This window comes from Homo sapiens, chromosome 14 (genome assembly GCF_000001405.40).
Source record: "Homo sapiens chromosome 14, GRCh38.p14 Primary Assembly".
Classification (NCBI taxonomy): Eukaryota; Metazoa; Chordata; class Mammalia; order Primates; family Hominidae; genus Homo; species Homo sapiens.
Genome location: NC_000014.9, coordinates 46,973,041 through 46,993,372, shown reverse-complemented (window position 1 = coordinate 46,993,372; position 20,332 = coordinate 46,973,041). Strand labels below are relative to the sequence as shown.

Sequence of the window (20,332 nt, the reverse complement as noted above, 5' to 3'; positions counted from 1 at the left end):
ATAGTTATTAATTATGAACAATTGAGAACCAAACTAAATTTGAAACCAAATTAGGAAGTAAATAACCTTTCTGGAAGTAAAATGTTGATAGAGAAGGCAAATTGCTTCCAGGTGTTTTCAAGCAATCTCTGTTCAATTATGAATAATGGATAAAATGTGCTTAATAAACAATGCTATTTTATTAAAAGCATACCTCGCATCATCATAATGCTAGAATAATAAAATGTATTTATATTTCTAATAATCTGTTAACATTTTTTCATCAGAGGTTACTTTCCTAGTGTATGAGAAGAATTTTTTTTTTTAAGGATAACTATTTACAATGAATAACTAAAGAGCCAAGTAAAGCTCAAGATTGTATAAGTTATAGTTATTGGGGAATGAAGTATACAATTTCAGTACTTTTGGTTGAAAATGTTTTCACATCACTCATTTTCACTTGTCAATATTAAATGATATGTAAGCGATTAGGTTTAGTCGAGGCATATTGCTATGCTATTAATCAACTTCATGCAAGCCTCAGGAATCATCAGGGGAGACATGGATGCTATTTTTGCTCACAATTCATTTTGTAGCACTGAGCTCAAAATTTAATTTCTCTGCATATCAAAGTGAAACAATTTACACAGCTGTGCTCATTTTATAGGAGCTTTTGGCAAAGTGCAAATAAGTATATGATTACTGGAGAACTCCGGTCTCTATCAAATTACTATGAAGTAGTACCAACAAATGATCTGAATGATAGAATATTCTATTCTTGAGTGAAAAACATTATACAAATAAAAGTCACTACATTATACTATTCTAATGCATAATAAATTTAAGCATAAATGATTTCTACCAACTGTTACAGTATATAAATTACTAGTTAATTGTTCTGAAGCATTTCATTGTAACAAACATGGAGCTGCCAATAATTGTCCCCTTATGGGAAGAAGAAAACTGAGATTTAAAAAAAAATTGTTCAAAACTTAACTAATCACTTGAATGGTGAATAGTCCTGAACGTCTTCTGGTAACATTGGTAGATTTTAATCTACATTTTATTTTTGCTTTTGAATAAAAATATAGATTTAATTTTACTGTGGACATTTTAACAATTTAGCCACCTCCAAATTTAAAATTCCAAATTAGATTTACTACAGATTATTATCACTCGTTTCTTTCTTTTGCTTATGTTCATATTGTGGATAGATTTTAATTGAGAATTTCTTAAGCAGTGTCAGTGGAAGCAGTTTTATTGTCGTGTTGTGTACCTCAACTATTGAAAGTATCTGCTAGTTTTGATCTTTTGACAGAAAGAGTGTATTGTTAGGCGTAGCTTTTATTACTAAATCATGAAATTATGAGTTGGAAGCCATTATTCTCCTCCTAGTGAGACCATACAACTGTGCAATTTTCTGAGTCCATGACAAAATGCTAACCTATAATCAAGTCTCTTTTTGTATTTCAACCTTTGGATGGGATCCAAGAGAGTCTTATCCTGAATTCTGTGTTATTACAGATAGTGATCTAGCTAAGTTCTAGCCAAGTGATCTAGCTAGTGTATTGAAGGCACAAAATATTTGAACATTAACTTTTAATTTTAGGAGTTTATTATAAAACACAGTTGTATTAACTATTTTGTTTCTCTTGCAAACATTAGGGAAAATGACCAAGTTTTAGTTTCAGTGAATGAAGGAATTTCATATTTTTCCCTTAGAAACATTCCAGTATGAGAGGAGAAAAACTGATTAACTATTGTTGTAAGTTGGGAAATGTTCTCACAGACATCATTAACTTTTTCCATAAAAAGTATTGTTTTCATGTGTACCATTTAGTAGATATAAAATTTCCAAATAATTTAAATGTCCAAGCCATAGATGACTAAACTTTGCTGCTTTGACTCTTAAGACACAAATGACAAAAAGATGATACTAGAGACTATTAAGGCAAATTATCCAGTGACAGCTGGTATTGCTCTTTAATAAGTGTTCTCTTTGATAATAGAATGGACAAGTCAGTACTTAAAAATAAAAGTTGTTTTCTAAGTCCCAAGATGAGCATAATATTTCTTTTCTTTCTGAAAACTATAAGATCTTCTTTACATTCTATAAAAGATTTAAATAATCCTCAGGAAATGACCTTTCTAAGGCAGAGGATGTCTTCACTTTTATTATTCTGTATCTTGATGCTCCTGTCAAACTATGTGACATTTCCACAGAACTTTAAATAGAAATATGAAAGGACAGAAAAGGAAGTACATTCATAATAATAAAAAATGTCTGGCCATATGACCCCAATAAGACAAGTTAAATATATTACCACTACTTATTTCATATTGAAGGACCAGATGGTAGCCAGACAAAATCATTGAGGATAAAGCCTAATTCAGAGTGTGTGTTCTGATACTTGCACTGTAATCCCATAATCCTTTAAAGAAACAATCAATGATCTCTTGCTTCTGTATTTTCTAGCTGTGTCTTACGCGGGGTGTGTGTGTGTGTGTGTGTGTGTGTGTGTGTGTGGGTGTGTGTGTGTTCTAATCCATATATGATTATTCAATAACTAGAAGCTTGATGTTTATACCTTTTTGTGTTTAATCAGATTAGTAAGCACATTGCTATAACCAGCAAAGTAACATTTGACATATTATCCAAGAAAAATTTGTATTTTATTATCTATCTGGATCTAGGAGCCTTACTATAAATTATTTTTAATCTTTGATCTTGCTTTTTAATAAATCACACAATGTTCAAAGACTCCTATTTTCTAATGTGTAACTAGACATTAGCAGAACCTCAAAAATAAAAGGAGATAAAAGGAGTGGTTAACAATTTTTTGAAAATGTGTAACAAATGTTAACATGTTTCTTTACCTGTTTCCTGTATATGTTTGCAATACTTCTCAGAACATTTTTTTCTTGTTAAAGAATATCATGGATTTTCAAGAGGAGAATAGAAACTGTAGCAGAATTTTTAAACAAATTTTACTATGAAGATTTTAGTTTTCATTAAATGCTCATGATTTATATCTAGTAATTTATTTAAGAAATACTAAATGAGTACTTGAATTTCTATAGTAAACAAAGCTTTACAAGTCCTACTCTCACAGTAAACTAGTCTCTTATGACTAATATTCCATAGAAACTTTGTAATAGCTGAGAGGGAGTAAGGGACTATAATAAGTGCTTCATATATGATATCTCATTTAATTTTCAAGACAAACCTAAGAGTTAAGCACTGTTATCCTCATTGAAATTGAAACCTAAGGGAAATGAAGTTAACACATTTCAAGGTCACATGTCTAACAAGTGATAAAGTCTGGATTTGAACCTATGAACTCTTAGGAACATTGTATTATATAGAAGAGTATTCTTTAGTGACAGCCTGTCCTATAAAAGACAAAAGCAAATACTTTGTTGTATACATAAAAATTGGGGCTGTTATTTTAATTTCATAATATGGATAAATTGAATGCTGGGATACTAGTACCAGAAATTTCAGTTCAACTAAATGGGCTGTTGAAGTGCTAGCCTCCTCTATTGTTCTTTCAAATTCTGAGAATTCTTTTTGATTTTATGAAATATTCATGATTCACTTGGTGGTCCCTGCCAGCTGTCTCCTCTGCCATCTGGTTTGGTCCTGCCTAGATAGCTAATTGTGTAGAATATATATAAGTGCCTGTATATAGTTCAATCTGAAAAAAACACAATCTATATGGAAGTCATTTTAGAAGTAGAAGCAATCCATTATCTCATATTGTCTACATATTTTCCTTTCCCACTGGCAAATTACTCAGTAGTTTACTGGATCTTTATTGAGTAGCTATTGCCAACAGAAGATTAAAGTTGATGTAATATTTAGTCTTTCCTATGATAGTACTAGCATTGTATAATTCTAGCCATGAAGAAAAAGATGGATTAGTCACATATTGTCACCTGCCAAGATGAAAAATTATGAGCTTTCCACTTTGTGTTTAAATGTACCTGGAGTTCACTCTGATGAGAAATCATGTTACCCAAGGCAAGTCTTTTTTATTGTCTTCACAAGGATACCCCCCTTTTTTTTTTCCAGTGCAGCTATCCTTTTCTGATATGTGTGGGGGGAGTTCCATTTTCCTTCCACTATCTTGCAAGTATTCCTAGCCCATATAAATGGAGCAAGCCACTAAGAGCTGCTAGCAGAATTGGGGAAAACTACATAGACACAGAAAGTGGAAGTTTGAAATGGTATTAGAACTCAGAGTTGTGTGGACAGATACAAAGAAAAGTGATAACCAAGCAGAGAATTATGAGTGCATGTAATGAGTAATTTTTTGTTCATGTAAAGTACTAAAATCTGTGACTTGGTTTGTTTATGTAGATATAAATGAAAAGAGATTATTGCAAATTTGAGCTTATGCCATGGATATGCTTTCTTTAAAATGAAGGATGGAGTTTACTCTAGCAGTCCAGAAACTGTACTTTGCACAGTCTTTTAAAATCCTTCTCTCTAGTCTGAGAACACATGGGATTCTGTTGCGCATGCTACTATTTTCCAAGCGTCATGGTGGAGAAACAGTTGAAAATTACTCTTCTCAAAGAATCTATTCTGAAATACATCTCATTCCTGCTGGTAGAATCATTATAGAACACAAATTTCAATTCTACCTGAGAAGAGATAGATAAATGACATCTCCCTAAGATTCCTTAAAGCTCTACTCCATCCATCCCTCTTTCCAGCTCACACAGGGCATCCTCACTGATGCATATGAAAGCTGCACTTATTTATTCTCTTCATTAAGATTTGGTTTTCCGTGAGTCCTTCTGCCACTCATTAGCTTCTTCCTGACCATAATATGCCTACCCTGGTGTCCAACCGCTACACTAAATCTTCTGAAAACTGAAACACAGCTGTCACCATGCCCCACGTCAGCAGCTTCCTATCAGCAAACATGTCAGAATCTAACCTTTGCTTCCCTGGTGTTTCAGTTTTTATTAAGTTGCTTATGTTCAAATTAAACTTTATGGCAACAGCTGTCTCAGTTGTCGAATCAAAATTATGCTACTCTTATTTGATTTTTTCCATCAACCCTTCTTGTTTCTATCCAGTCTGTAAAGTAAATATAAATTCTTAGTAACTCTGCTTCTTTTTATTTGACTCTAGTTTTCTATTTCCTTCTTCATAATTTATGGAATAATCAGCATGATTCTCCCATTTTGAATCTGAGGACACAATAATAAACCAGAGAGAAGAAAAAAAAATACAACCCTTCTCATACATTCATATATGGCACTGCTAGCTAGTACCATCCTAAGAAGCCATGTTCTCCACTCTTTACTACTATTTTACTTTAATAATATTAATTTCAATATTATATTACTCATTTTTCCTTTCACCATAACATACTATACTCTGTACTTTACATAATAGTAACATACTTCTACAGCAAATTACAACATACACACACGCGCGCACCCCCCCCCACCCCAGAATATTCAGTCCCAACACTTTTTGGCATATATAGTTCCCTTACCCTACTAAATATAGCAGTTTATTAGTAAGGAAGATGTCCCCTTCTGAGGCCCTTAACAGTTTTATATTATTATATTTTGAATTAACTTAATCCAGGTTAAATTGCTTTGCACATAGAAGCAACATAGTAGTTGCCTTTCACATAGTTGTAAGTTTCACTGTCATTCCCTTCCCTTCAAGATCAGGGAGGCATTGTTCTAACTTTTTGTTAGTCTTATGCATATTTAGGAGCTTAATTAAACAAAAACGGTGAGATACAGGAGTGTTGCTCCTTAAAATGATTTTCTATTTTCGTATCACCAAGGTAAATTCCTTCTCAATATTTCAATGTGGTGAGTGACGCGTGGCTGCATCTGACTTCAGAAAAACTCAGAACACAGGCCTTCTGCCCTCTGCATAAAGGAGGAATACCTATAAAGCTGCTCCGTGGTTTCTGATAAAGAGTAGCTCTTGTGGATATCATGAATAAATAGTGAATAACAACATTCTGTACATTAGACATTTTTGTGTCGAATTCTCAGTTATGCTCTGGCAGGGCAAATCACAAAATATTTTGTGACAGTGCTTCAGCATTAACCAAGAGGACTCATTCATCACATGGACAAACAAACCAGTGATGAAAATCCCAGCCCTGTTTGCTTGACCAGTGTGATCCCAAAGAGTCACCGTGGGCATATTAGTGTTCATCATTTACTTGAGAGAACTGTCATTTGAAAATAAGTTTTCTGTCAATAAATTTATTAAAATAAGTGGAGGTAAATGCACATTCTATGTTACGTGTTTTAGTGTCACTATCATGAACTGTTATTACTACCAATATGCAGACACATACATACACACATGCATACCTACATGCCTACCTACATAAAACTGGTACAGAGTTGTGAGTGTCACTGTAATGACATGAAATTGAGCTAGGGCCACTTTGAATAAATGTGAAAAGTTGCCTTCATGAGTTATAAAGTCCATCTCTCAGAATGGTCATGAAAATCAATAAGCATTGTTAACCAAGCTTTCTAAGTAATTTCTGATAGAAAATCAGACACACTTGGCAGGTTATGCTAAAAAGTGTAGAATAAGTTACTCAGTTCTACTGACTTCAATAATTAAATCAGTCCTAGGCAATAAAATATAGCTTACTCTTGATGCTTTGGGACAAACAATTTGCCAGTGTGTTTATAAGACAGCATGCTAAGCAGCTAGTTGTGTCTTTTGGGTAGTTGATTTCTGTTGAAACTAATTTCCTTAAGACATTTATCTTTTGGAAATTTCATCAATAGCCTGTTTGAGACTATCTGGAATCCAGCAGAGTTAATTATGAATTTAATCAGCCTGTACATGAGAATCAGAAAGATCTTACATCAGTATTTTGGGGGAATATGATTGGGATATTCTGGGATCAGTGTTGGCAGATGCCCAGGTTGTCAGCCTTCAATATTGTTTTCCCATTTCATGTGGTCTTTAGTGTTGAGCAAATCACCCTGGTGCTTTATAATTAAAGGGAGTAGCTTTACCTCAGAAAGAATTCCTGAAGAGGCTTTGTTGGTATAAATAATAAAGGCACAGATGTAGAGGTAGCTGATAAAACTTCTTGTACAAAGGGCTTCTGTATCCATATGTGCATAATTGAGTTCTGCGTGTGACACTGTTCTTGAATTGAGAACAATTGATATATTTGTGCCATCTGTTATGTTGTGTCTGTGCCAAGTGCCAACACTATAAGCAAAAAAACAGTGGTCTGTGAGCACTGTAGTATACTAGTTACTACCTTCCCTTGGAACTTGATATTTTAGCAAGATTCCTCAGGCTGTCAAGGCTAACAAACTACAATGGCACTTTTTTGGTAGGCAAAGATAACACTCCTTATGTTTGCCTCTTGCTGAATCACATTCTTACAGCAACCTTTGAAACCTTAGAAGTCTTGAGGTTTTGTGTCTTTTTCCTAGAAAAAAAATGACTCAGTTGTAAATCGCTAATGGTGACTCTCAATAAGGTGAATAAGGCATTATTAATGCAGGAAGAAAAGTTGAAGAGGTCTGTGATTCTTAACATTCTTTTCACTTGATTAACCTGTTCATTGAAATTATGTAAGGTCCGTAAAAGTGTTCTTTGACTTTGCTTTGTGTTATTTTCATGATCAGTAGATGTTACCGTCCTGAATGTGCAACTCACTAATGCTCGACTTTATCAGCTCCACAGTAAACCATTCAAGCAAAGGTTTGCTCAGTTGTCAGGATAAGTGCCATATTCTATTGCTTAATTTTGAGAGCAGATTTTTCTACTGTTGTTTGGATTCTTTTTAAGTACGTAATATCTTTTTGACAGCACAGTATTTGGGGTAGCAGTAACTCAGGTAAGAAATAAGTATGCCCCCACAAAATTTACTCTTCTCCAAAAAATTGATAAAGCAATTCAGCATCCCATGGGACATAAAAACTTACATGTATGATTACATATAAATGTGTAATCCACTAGGTTCGGTTCAGTTCTTTTCAACAGACTCCTACATATACTTAAGTACTTGTGCTGGATTCCTTACACAGATGAAACAAATTAGTAGTAGAAAACAAAATTGATACTACTAGATTATCCCTTGCCAAGGTATTATTTTATATTTTTATCACTTCTTTCTAGTCACTTTCACGTTATTTCATTTAATCTTTATAAGAACTCATTGATAAAGACAGGAGAAATCTAAATCTAAGATTCACAAAATGCAAACTAGGAATTGAATCCCACAGAAGGTCAGTAGTTTGGTCCTAGTAACTGAAGCTATCAGCTTGAGCAATGGGAGGAGAGTTCTCTTTCCATGTCTGTAGCTCTACTCTATTCTTCTTTTACTGCTGTCTAATTCTCTTCTGAAGATTTAAGGGAGAAAATGAATATGAAAAAAATGTACTGATATTTAAAGAACAATTACTAGTTAAAAGTATTTTAAGGGAAATTCAGCAAGTGCCTACTTAGAAATTTCAGGATTAAGTATAATTTAGAATGACTGTTATTAGGTCCAAGCTTAAGTTTTGCCACTGTTAGCAAAACTAGGTGTTAAATATGAAAGGGCAAAGTGGAAAATTAAGTATAAATTTTGTATTTTTTCTTAACAGAAAATTAGAACGTGGAAGTAATTGTTAATTCTTTTGCAAATTGGCAATTCCAACTAACTATTCATCTATCAGTACTTTGATATGATTACCAGAACACATCTAGTTAAATAGTTAAGGACAAACTGTAGTACTATAAATCCATTGTGTAAGATTATAACTGTGGAATTGATGGACAAGGTAAGTATTCTTGAGAAATGTAATGGGGACAGCTGGATACAAGAATCCACTGGAAACCACTATCATGATTTTGATATAATTGCACTGATTTTCTAGTTAGAGATGGTGTGAGCAGAAAGCATCTATTTTCTAATTGGAAATAGTATGGGTGCTTTGATTATATAAAATATAATCAAAAATAGAATTACATAAAATATACAAAATATAATTGAAACACTCATAATATTTCCAATTAGAAAATACTTTCTGCCCACACACAAGTAAAAATAAAATGAATGCTTCCGTATTTGTATGACAAATAGGAATACTTCTACTGAACATTATTAAGGAAGAGGAAGTGAAGCAGTTTGAGGAAGTAGAAATTTACACCAGATACTCATTTGGAATACCAGGAAAATGAAATACTGAGTATATGATTTTCTGTGTTTGATAACATAAGTAAAGAAGCAAGACTGATGATGCAGATGTAGAGACTGGTACATATGCCCTGGGGGTTGGAATCTAGAGTTCTGAGATATCCAGTGGAATCATGTAAAATATTTGACGTATCTTTATTCAAGTAATATAACTATGTTTTATTACTAATATACTTACAGCACTATATTTGCACTTGTAACATCAATCAGATTAGTTATAATTAATATATAAATATACTTGTAATATTCTATTCATGTTAATTATAATATTAATTCTATGCACTTAAATAAATATTCAAACTAATTTTATTGAGAGTCCCAATAAGTATTAGGAGGTTAGCAGTTTGTCAGATGGAGAAGAGAATTAATCAAAATTCTCACTGTCTCCCATCTGTTTTGAATGGCAAAGACAAGAAATATGTTAGTGAAAAGTTACCACACAGCTGAAACTATTCTCTTTTAATGTGTGAAGTGCCAAAAAATTTAAATTTTGACACTTTCAGCACCTTGATATTACTGAAAACCAGGTCTGCAACCAGGAAGATATTGAAATTCATCCCTACAGAGCAAGGAGACTAAACAAATTAAACAAGTTCTCAAATGTATGTCATTTAATTTTTAATTCTCCAGTGGCACTTGGGATATCTCAACTTTTGGTAGGAATTTTTTTGATGATGCTTTGCTGGAAGCACACTTAAAGGCATTATTTTATTAATAGAATATTTCGGTTGACAGAGAAAAGCCAATTGAAGATTCTGTTAATTTCAAATTTATAAGTCATAAAATATAACTGTGAAGAAAATTTCAGAAAATTTTATTTAAAAATTAAAAATAATATGACCACATTAGAAAATATATTTATCAGAAAAATATTAATGAGAATATTAGAGAGATTCAGCTAAGCCACTGAATAAGGTACATGATTATTTGCCAAAAACAGTTTTGTTTATTTTATTTGTAATGCTCCTTTAACCAATACAATGTAATTTAGAATATTTCTTTAGGAGTGTGCATAGATATGGGCTATATTTTACTCTTTGAAAATATTTTTGCATCAGTTTTTTTATCAATAAACGTAATCCAGCATATTAACAGAACCAAAGACAAAAACCACATGATTATCTCAATAGATGCAGAAAAGGCCTTTGACAAAATTCAACAACCCTTCATGCTAAAAACTCTCAATAAATTAGGTATTGATGGGACGTATCTCAAAATAATAAGAGCTATCTACAACAAACCCACAGCCAATATCATACTGAATGGGCAAAAACTAGAAGCATTCCCTTTGAAAACTGGCACAAGACACGGATGCCCTCTCTGACCACTCCTATTCAACATAGTGTTGGAAGTTCTGGCCAGGGCAATCAGGCAGGAGAAGGAAATAAAGGGTATTCAATTAGGAAAAGGGGAAGTCAAATTGTCCCTGGTTGCAGATGACATGATTTTTTTTTTTTTTTTTTTTTTTTTTTTTTTGATGGAGTCTCCCTCTGTCACCAGGCTGGAGTGCAGTGGCGTGATCTCGGCTCATTGCAACCTCCACCTCCCAGGTTCAAGTGATTCTCCTGTCTCAGCCTCCCAAGTAGCTGGAATTACAAGCATGTGCCACCACACCCAGCTAATTTTTATATTTTTAGCGGAGACGGGGTTTCACCATGTTGGCCAGGATGGTCTCTATCTCCTGACCTCGTGATCTGCCTGCCTCAGCCCCACAAAGTACTGGGATTACAGGCATGAGCCACCATGCCCAGCCAGCATTTGTTTTTTAAAGGAACTAATTTTTGGTTATACCAATATATTAAAACTAATTTGTCCATCTGTAAATAAATATTTTTATTTTAATATATACCATTTTAATAATACTACTTTTACACCATTTTAATCATAGTATAATACTATTTTAATAATTTATGGACCTCCTTTACACAGTTTGGAAGATAAATTATACGGTTACCATACTAGTCTTTTCATGTTAGTACTCGTATGATATGGTGTCTTTTATTGTGGTCACTTGTGTACATAGCTGAAACACTGAGGAAAATTGAAAAGTTCTTGTTACAACACTTGTATGTGACATCACTCAAATACTATGTCTGAAAGAGTATTTAATATTTAGGTGATGCTCAAATACTTATGAATGTATGATTGGACTCATAAATCCGATTATATGCATATCACATATTGCTCAACTTCTGAAGCTCTAAGTTGAACTGATGATATCCTCCTATCCATCACTTCTGTCAGTATGCTTTTGGTTTGTCACCCTGTGATTTTGTTTGTAGAATCATTCACCTCTGTGGCCAGTCCATATCTTTTAGTTAACCAAGACCCATGTATATTAAAAATGCAGACTCAGAAAGTGTACAGTGCTCTGATTTTTAGTCCCAGCCCCTCTCTACTGTGAATGCTACCTTCTCACAATTTTCTCGACTTCTTTCTCTCTGTGTGATCAAAAGCTTGTTTACAAAACAGGTCATGATAACCTGGATCACTTCATCTTACAGTGATGCGCTCTTCTTGTGAAAACTTACAGTACTGGAACTCTATATCACTCTTTTCACACCTACCACTTGACATTCTTAAACTATTAAACTTATCTATTGTATTATTTAAAGGTTCATATATTTACGCCTTATCTTCTTTAACTTAGCCATAAGCCCTATGAAAAGAGGGACTTTGTATTATTTCTCAAAATGCCTGAAATGCTGACTTGCATACAGTAGTAATAAAAGCATAAATTTATATTTTATATCCTAGTACAGACTTTTTTTTTTCTTGGAGATGGAGTCTCCCTCTGTCACCCAGGCTGGAGTGCAGTGGTGCTATCTCTGCTCACTGCAACCTCTGCCTTCTGGGTTCAAGTGATTCTCCTACCTCAGCCTCCTGAGTAGCTGGGATTACAGGCGCATACCACCACAGCCAGCTAGTTTTTGTATTTTTAGTAGAGACGGGGTTTCACCATGTTGGTCAGGCTAGCCTCGAACTCCTGACCTCATGATCCGCCCCCCCCTTGGCCTCCCAAAGTGCTGGGATTACAGGCATGAGCCACCGCGCCAGGCCCAGACTCTTAAAAAGTCTCTTGAAAGGAGTCTTCAATCTCAATAGATATTTATTTATTGTCATAAATATATGCTGTTATCCAGAGACAAATAATAAAGGCTTTTTAAAGTCAAAGATGGTCAAAAGTCAGAATTTGAAACACAGGTATTCCTCAAAGATATTGGGAGTTCAGTTCCAGACTACTGCAATAAAGCAAATTCTGAAATGAGGCAAGTCACACAATTTTTTGGTTTCCTAGTGAATATTAAATTTATAGTTACATTATATTGTTGTCTATTAAGTGTGCAATAGCATTATGTCTAAAAAGTGTACATAGCTGAACTAAAAATACTTTATTGTTAAAAAATGTTTGCAATCATCTGAACCTTTAGTGAGTCATAGTATTTTTGCTGGTGGAGGGTCTTGCCTTGATGTTTATGGCTGCTGACTCAATGCGGTGGTGGTTACTGAAGGCTGTGGCAATTTCTTAAGATAAAACAACAGTGAAGTTTGCCACATTGATTAACTCATCATTTCATTTCATGAAAGATTTATCTGTAGCATGTCATGATGTTTGATAGCATTTTGCCCACAGTAAAACTTCTTTCAAAATTGGAGTCAATCCTCTCAAACCCTGCCACTGCTTTATCAATGAACATTATGTAATGTTCTAAATCCTTCGTGGTAATTTCAACAATGTTCACGGCATCTTCACTAGAAGTAGATTCTATCTCAAGAAACCACTATCTTTGCTTCTCCATAAAAAACAACTCTTCATCCACTGAAATTATTCTGTGAGATTGCAGCAGTTCAGTCACATCTTCAGGCTCCACTTCTAATTTTAGTTATCTTGCTATTTCCAGCACATCTGCAGTGATTTCCTCAACTGAAGTCTTGATCCTCTCTAAGTTTTCCATGAGTGTTGGGATCAACTTTTTCCAAACTCCTGTTAGTGTTGATATTTTGACCTCCTCCTATTAATCACAAATGTAGATTGTAGCATAATTCATAATGTTGATTTAGCATAATTCTTAAGGGCCCTAGGATTTTGGAATGGCAATTGAGCATTGACTTACACTTACACTAATGCACTTAAACCAGCTACAGTAGCCCCTAACAGTATAATCAATCTGTAATTTGAAGGTTTGAAGCCATGCATTGACTTCTCCTCTTTAGCTATGAAAGGTTTAAATGGCATCTTCTTCCAATAGAAGGCTGTTTCATCTACATTGAAAATCTGTTGTTTGGTGTAGCCACCTTTATCAATAACCTTACCTAGATCTTCCGGATAACTTGCTGCAGCTTCTACATCAGCACTTGCTGCTTCATCTTGCACTTTTAAGTTATCATGATGGCTTCTTACCTTTAACACCATCAATCAACCTTTGATAGCTTCAAACTTTTCTTCTGCAGCTTCCTCACATCTGTCATCCTTGATACCATTAAAGAAAGTTAGGACCCTGCTGTAAATTAGGGTTTGGGTTAAGGGCATATTGTGGCTGGTTTGATCTATTCAGACTGCTAAAATTTTCTCCATATCAGCAATAAAGTTGCTTTGCCTTTTTATCATTTTTGTGTTCCCTGGAGTAGCACTTTTAATTTTCTTCATGAACTTTTTCTTTGCTTTCACAAGTGGGCGATTTGGAGCAAAAGGCTTAGCTATTGGCTTATCTCAGCTTTCAATATGATTTCCTTAGTAAGTTTAATCATTTTAATCTTTTGATTTAAAGTGAGAGATGTGTAACTCTTCCTTTCATGTGAACACTTAAAGGCCATTGTAGGGTTGTTAATTGGCCTAATTTCAACACTGTTGTGTCTCAGGGAAGAGGAAGGCTTAAGGAGAAGGAGAATATGAGAGACGGGGAAGCAGCTGGTTGGTAGAGCAGTCAGAACACACACAACACATATTAAGTTTGTCATATGTGCGCAGTTCCCGGTATTCCAAAACAATAATAGAAATAACAATAGTAAGATCACTGAAAAAAAGGTTACTATTTTGGATATAATAATAAAGAAAAAGTTGGAAATATTTTAAGAATGACCAAAATGTCACACAGAGACACAAAGTGAGTACTATGCTGTTGGAAAAATGGCACTAATAAATTTGCTCAATGCAGGGTTGGCACAGATCTTCAATTTGTAAAAAATTCATTGTCTGTGAAACACAATAAAGTGTAGCACAATAAAACAAGGTATGTTTTTACATAGTTACAATGTTGAATAGCAACCTGTGTTTACATGAGCAGTCAATTCATCTATATATTGAAAGTCTATGAAATGACCTTTTTGCAAACTCAGTATCTAAGAAAAATGTAGTTACCATAATACTGAATGTGAATGGAGATATAAATATTATCTTGCCTCTCTGAGTCATTCAGGAAAGATTTAGCATTTTTTATAATAGGGATTCTATAGTATTTTCTCAATGTGTCTAAATGCAGCAACTATGACTTGGCAGAGGCAATGATAACAGTCTTTTTCCTGTTAACAACAATAATCTCCAAAAGCTGAAACTTCATATTTACAGTTATTTGATATAAAGGAATTTATGGCACATTAAAAAGTGCATTGCTTCTTCTCTCAGTACCTGTATGTGAAATATAGTGAAAATATATATTTTTATAGTTGTTGACTATTTTGAAGTATATCATGAGAGCATCCACTATAATGCCTGGTAATTAATATCAGCAGCAAAACACATTACTGTCTAAATTAATGCCCATATTCTTTATTTCATTTCTTCATTTAATTCAGCACTTCAATATTAGCATATATGTTAAATATCTTCCTTAAATTATAATAAATGAAGAAGCCAATTTTGAAACCTAATTACAGTGATGTATTAAAACATTTTCTAAATATGAATGGTTCCTAACATATTTTTCATCTGAATGTTTATCTTTGTTATAATAGACAAAAGAGTAAATTAAGACAATGTGATCACTATGCTTGATATGACACAATTTTACAGCTACTGGAATTATAATCATTTTAGTTTTATTTTCTTGCTTTGTTTTGTTTTGTTTGTTGTTTTGTTGAAACTATTATACCTAGAACATAATGAATGTCTTTAATCCTCAAGAAAAATAAAATGAGAAACATACTTGTTCAATATAAAGATACTCTGAAAAAAACTGTTAAGCCATAAGCAAAAACTGGAAAGAAAACAACCTCTACTCACTCTCATTTTTGGAGATGAAATTTATTTTTATAGTCCCTTACTACTGAGACTAAAGCAACACATTATCTACTTTTTTGGCCTAAGATGAGCCTTCACAATTTCTCCAGCAAGATTTTCAAGGATATTTTTTTTACCGAGTCCCCCTACATTATCTCCCCAATTTCTGCTGTTGTGAAAAAATTCTTTATTTCTGAAAAGTTTTATACCTACTAAGTTTACTACCATGTTATTGATCAATATTATATCTGTAACTGGTTTATAAAAGATGATCAATTTATATTGCATTTGTCAAACTATTTGTCTTCTTAAGTAAAATTCTGACTTAATTAGAACTATCAGCATATAAAATGGTTAGTTATAATAGACTTCCTGGTGCAAACGGCAACATTTTAACTACATTTCTGGGAGGCCAATATTTGCCTAATTGTGGCTATTATCAAATGACCATTTCATATTTGGATGTAAAAATGTGGACAATAATAAAATAGATTGTCTAATTGTGATTACTTACTAATATAGTTAGGGTTACTTATTCTAGAAAATGAAGTCTCTGTTTTCATCTTTTATTTTTTTTCTTGCATTAATGTTTGTCAGTCCTTGTGACAGGAAAAAAATATTAGAAATTTAACCTCTTCTTATTTCAACCCCTCCCATTCATATCATCCTTTAAGAAAAAAGTGAGGGCCTTGAATCCTAGAATGACTAGTGAAAGTGTTTTAAAAAAAAAGAGAAGAAATTTGAAAATCGGCTTTTTTTCTGATATGAAATTTCTAGAGTTAATTTTTAATCTTGGAGCTTGATGATACATATGTCATATAGTCATGTGTACTCTAATATGGTATATTTTTTTATGAAGCATAACTGTAAATATCTATTTTATAAAGCAAAACTGTAAATAATAAAGAATTGAGAATTTGGTCTCCATGTCATTAGTAACATAATTTGGATAAACAATCTTTTTTGACTTCTGTCTTAAATTCCATGAGAATGATGAAGTTTGAATAATATAAAATGGTATGTTTACATTCCAAGGCATGAACTTGTTAAAATTACAATTAATCTGCAATTATCTACTCATTAGTTTCAATAATGGTGCATATAATTTGAGAGCAGATGAGTAAGAAAAGCACAGTTCCTTTCTATCTGTGAGATTATATTCCTGAAGACTCAATTCTAGAAGAATTACTTTTAGAAAAATATGAGAAAAAAAGTATGTTAAATAACTGAAGAAGTGTCTGAACGAATGAACGATCTTGACAGTCATTAAATAAAACAATGAAGACAGCAAACTCAATTCAATATCAAATTAATAACGTTATATGTACCAATAACGGATATGATAGCTTCATTTTGGGATCAACCTTTTTATATTTTCAAAGAATTATTCATAGATTGGTTTTTATGCATGCTAGATAATGTAAAATAAAAGCAAATTTCTGCCTGAATGTCTAACTAACTGTTAGAAAAAACAGCTCTAACCAAGCTGTTTTCTTATTTCCTGATTCACAAGTATGAAGTCACATCAAATAGTATCATTTGTTCTAGAGGTAAAGAATGATGTCTCTGTCCTTTTTCAGTTCTATTTTTTAAACTTTACAGTAATGTTGGTTCAATTTCTGTAACAGTGGTTCATTGATGTTCTGTTTTGTTCTTTTTTGTTTTGTTCTAAGCCACTGTGTTTTTGTTTTTTGTTTGTTTTAAGCCACTGACTTCATTTTTGTTATTGTGGTAAAATACACATAATATAAAATTTGCCATCTCAAATATTTTTAAGCATATGGTTTAGTGGAATTAATACATTCCTAATGTTGTGTATCCAACACTGTCATCCATCTTCATAACACTTTTCATCTTGTAGAACTGAAACTCTCAATATATTAAACAATAACTCTCCATTTTCTCTGAAAATTATTCCACCATTTTCTCTGAAAATAAATCACCATTTTCTCTGAAAATAAACCACCAACGTGGTTAGGTATTAGAAGGTTGATCCTTTTGGGAGGTGGTTAGGTCATGAGGTCAGAGCTGTAAAGAATCGGATTAGTGCCTGTATAAAAGAGGTTCAAGATTGTTGTCTTGCTCCTTCCACATGCGAGGACATAGCAAGAAGCCTTATGTCTGAACCAGGAAACTGGCCCCCCTCAGACACTGAATCTGCTGGTTTCCTGATCTTGAACTTCCCTGCCTTTAGAACTCTGAGAAATAAATATTTATAAGCCACTCAATTTATGGTATTTTTTAATAGTAACTCAAACGTACTAAGATATCTCCTCCCCCAGCCTCTGGCAACCACTATTTTATTTTTGTCTCTAAAAGTTTAACTTCTCTAAGTACTCTATGTGAGTGAAATCATAAAGTATTTGTCTTTTTGTTACTAGTTTATGTCACCTAGCATAATGTCCTCAAAGTTCATCCATGTTGTAGCATATGTCAGAATTTCATTCCCCTTAAAAGCTGATTGATATTCTATTGTATGCATAGACCTCATTTTGCTTATCCATTCATCTGTTGATGAATACTTGCTTTGATCCCATCTTTTAGGTGTTGTGAATAATGCCGATATGAACCTGGCTGTACAAATATATCTTTGAGACTCTGCTTGCAATTAGATATACACTTAGAAGTAGAATCCCTGGATCATGTAGTAATTCGTTTTTTAAAATTGTGAGAAACAACTATACTGTTTTCCACAGTGGCTGTACCATTTTGCATTCCCTCCAACAGTGCTTAAGGGTTCTAATTTCTCTACATTCTCACCAACATTTGTTATTTTCTTTTTTTAAAAAGTAGTAGCTCTTCTAATGGATATTAAATGGCATCTCATTGTAGTTTTAATTAGCATTTTTCTAATGACTAGTGATGTTGAGCATCTTTATGTGCTTATTGGCCATTTGAGTATCACTGGAGAAATATCTGTTCAAGTTCTTTGCCCATTTTTGAATTGAGCTATTGCTTTTTTGTTGAGTTTTAGGAGTTTTTATCCATTCTCCATACTAATTGCTTATCATAAATCTGAGTTGCAAATATTTTCTTTCATTCTGTGGGTTACATTTTTACTCTGTTGCTACTTTAATGCACAACTTGAAAAAAAATACGAATTCCATTTGTTTTCTGTTGTCATCCATGCCTTTAGTGTCATACCCAAAAAATTACTGCCAAATTCCATGTCATGAAGTTTTTGTCCCATGTTTTCTTCTAAGAGTTTTATATTTTTGAATCTTACATTTAGGCCTTTGACCCATTTTAAATTAATTTCTGTACATAGTGATCTAACTTAATTCTTTTGCATGTGAATATCCAGTTTTCACAACACCATTTGTTGAAAAGACTATCTATTCCCCATTGAATGACCTTGCCTCTTTTGTACAAAATAATTTTACCATATATGCAAGGGGTACTTCTGGGTTCTCCATTCTGTTTGATTGATCTATATGTCTATTTTTATGCCAGTACCACGCTGTTTTGATTGCTGGAGCTCTGTAGTGACTTTTGAAATCAAGAAGTGCGAGTCTTCCAGCTTTGTTTTGTTTTTCAAGATTTGTTGTGGCTATTCAGGGTCTCTTGAGATTCATATGAATTTTAGAATGGGTTTTTCTATTTCTGCCAAAAAAAATGCCATTGGGATTTTGATAGGGATTGCGTTGAATCTGCATACGTCTTTGGGTAGTTTTGACGTATTAACAATATTAGGTCTTCCAATTAATGAATATGTGATGTATTTTCATTTATTTATGTCTTGTTTCTTTCAGAAATGTTCTGTAGTTTCCATTGCACATGTCCTTTAATTCCTTGGTTAAATTAACTCCTAAGTATTTAAATGAATTCTTACATATTTTACTACTTTTGATACTATTATAAATGGATTTTTTTTGTAATTTCTTTTTCAAAATGTTTATTGTTAGTGTATAGAAATGCAGCTGATTAGCTGGGTGTGGTGGCTTATGCCTGTCATTCCAGCGTTTTGGGAGGCTGAGGCAGGAGGATCACTTAAGTCCAGGAGTCAGAGGCTGCAGTGAGCTGTAATCATGAATAAAACTGTATCTCCAAAAAAAAAAAAATAACAATAATTTAAAAAGGAAGAAATGCAACTGATTTAGTATGTTGATTTTGTTGCTTTTTTACTTTTCTGATTTCATTTATTTGTTATAACAGCTATTTAACATGGAATCTTCAGGGTTTTCTGCATGGTTTTCTATCATCTGCAAACAGAGGTAATTTTAGTTTGTTCTTTACAATTTGGATGCCATTAGATTGGGGTTTGTTTCATTGTACCTGAAACGTCTTTAGCTGAAACATTCTTTTGCCTTTTAGAAAAAGCTGCCTACGTTTCACTGATACCTACATTTTTAAATGCATATATTCTAAATCTCCATTCATTTTTTTTATTTCAAAGCAGGCTGGGTCCTGTCATGACAGTTTTGCCTTCCATACAGACCTTCCTGCATTGTCTGTTAAACATTGACCAATTATTTGATTAAGGCATGGAGTCCAGGTCAGTGTTTCTCAAAGGGGCTGATCTGCAAGCTTTATGTATAAGCTGCACAATAGGATTATGTTGTTTGTATTAAAATGTAAGTTGATGCACTACTTCCTTTATTGAAAAAGTCTTCCTCAAAAAAATTACCAGCTGAACTTAACTGCACTGTCATGTTGGTTGTTTTTTGTAAACATAAGTTTTCAACTCCTTTGAGTAAATACTAAGGTCTATGATTGCTGGATCACATGGTAAGAATATGTATACTTTTGTAAGAAACTGCCAAAATATTTTCCAAAGTGGCTGTGCCATTTTGCATTTCCACCAGCAACGAATGAAAATTCACATTGCTCTACATCCTTGCCAGCATTTAGTGGTGTCAGTCTTCCAGATTTTGGGCATTCTAGTAGCCGTATCATGGTATTTTATTGTTTTAATTTGCATTTC

General features: G+C 33.3%; 1 protein-coding gene across 9 annotated transcripts in view, besides 1 other annotated feature; it reads left to right on the top strand.

The window, feature by feature from the left end:
* The window catches only part of MDGA2 (MAM domain containing glycosylphosphatidylinositol anchor 2), an 835,983-nt gene that overhangs the window by 682,233 nt on the left and 133,418 nt on the right, over positions 1-20,332 (top strand). The window lies entirely within an intron of this gene.
* Positions 7,380-7,580: a silencer, noted in NCBI's record as "peak2151 fragment used in MPRA reporter construct". NCBI's record gives its function as "represses an SCP1 promoter by STARR-seq MPRAs in K562 erythroleukemia cells {active_cell/tissue: K562}" and the evidence as "EXISTENCE:reporter gene assay evidence [ECO:0000049][PMID:32103011]".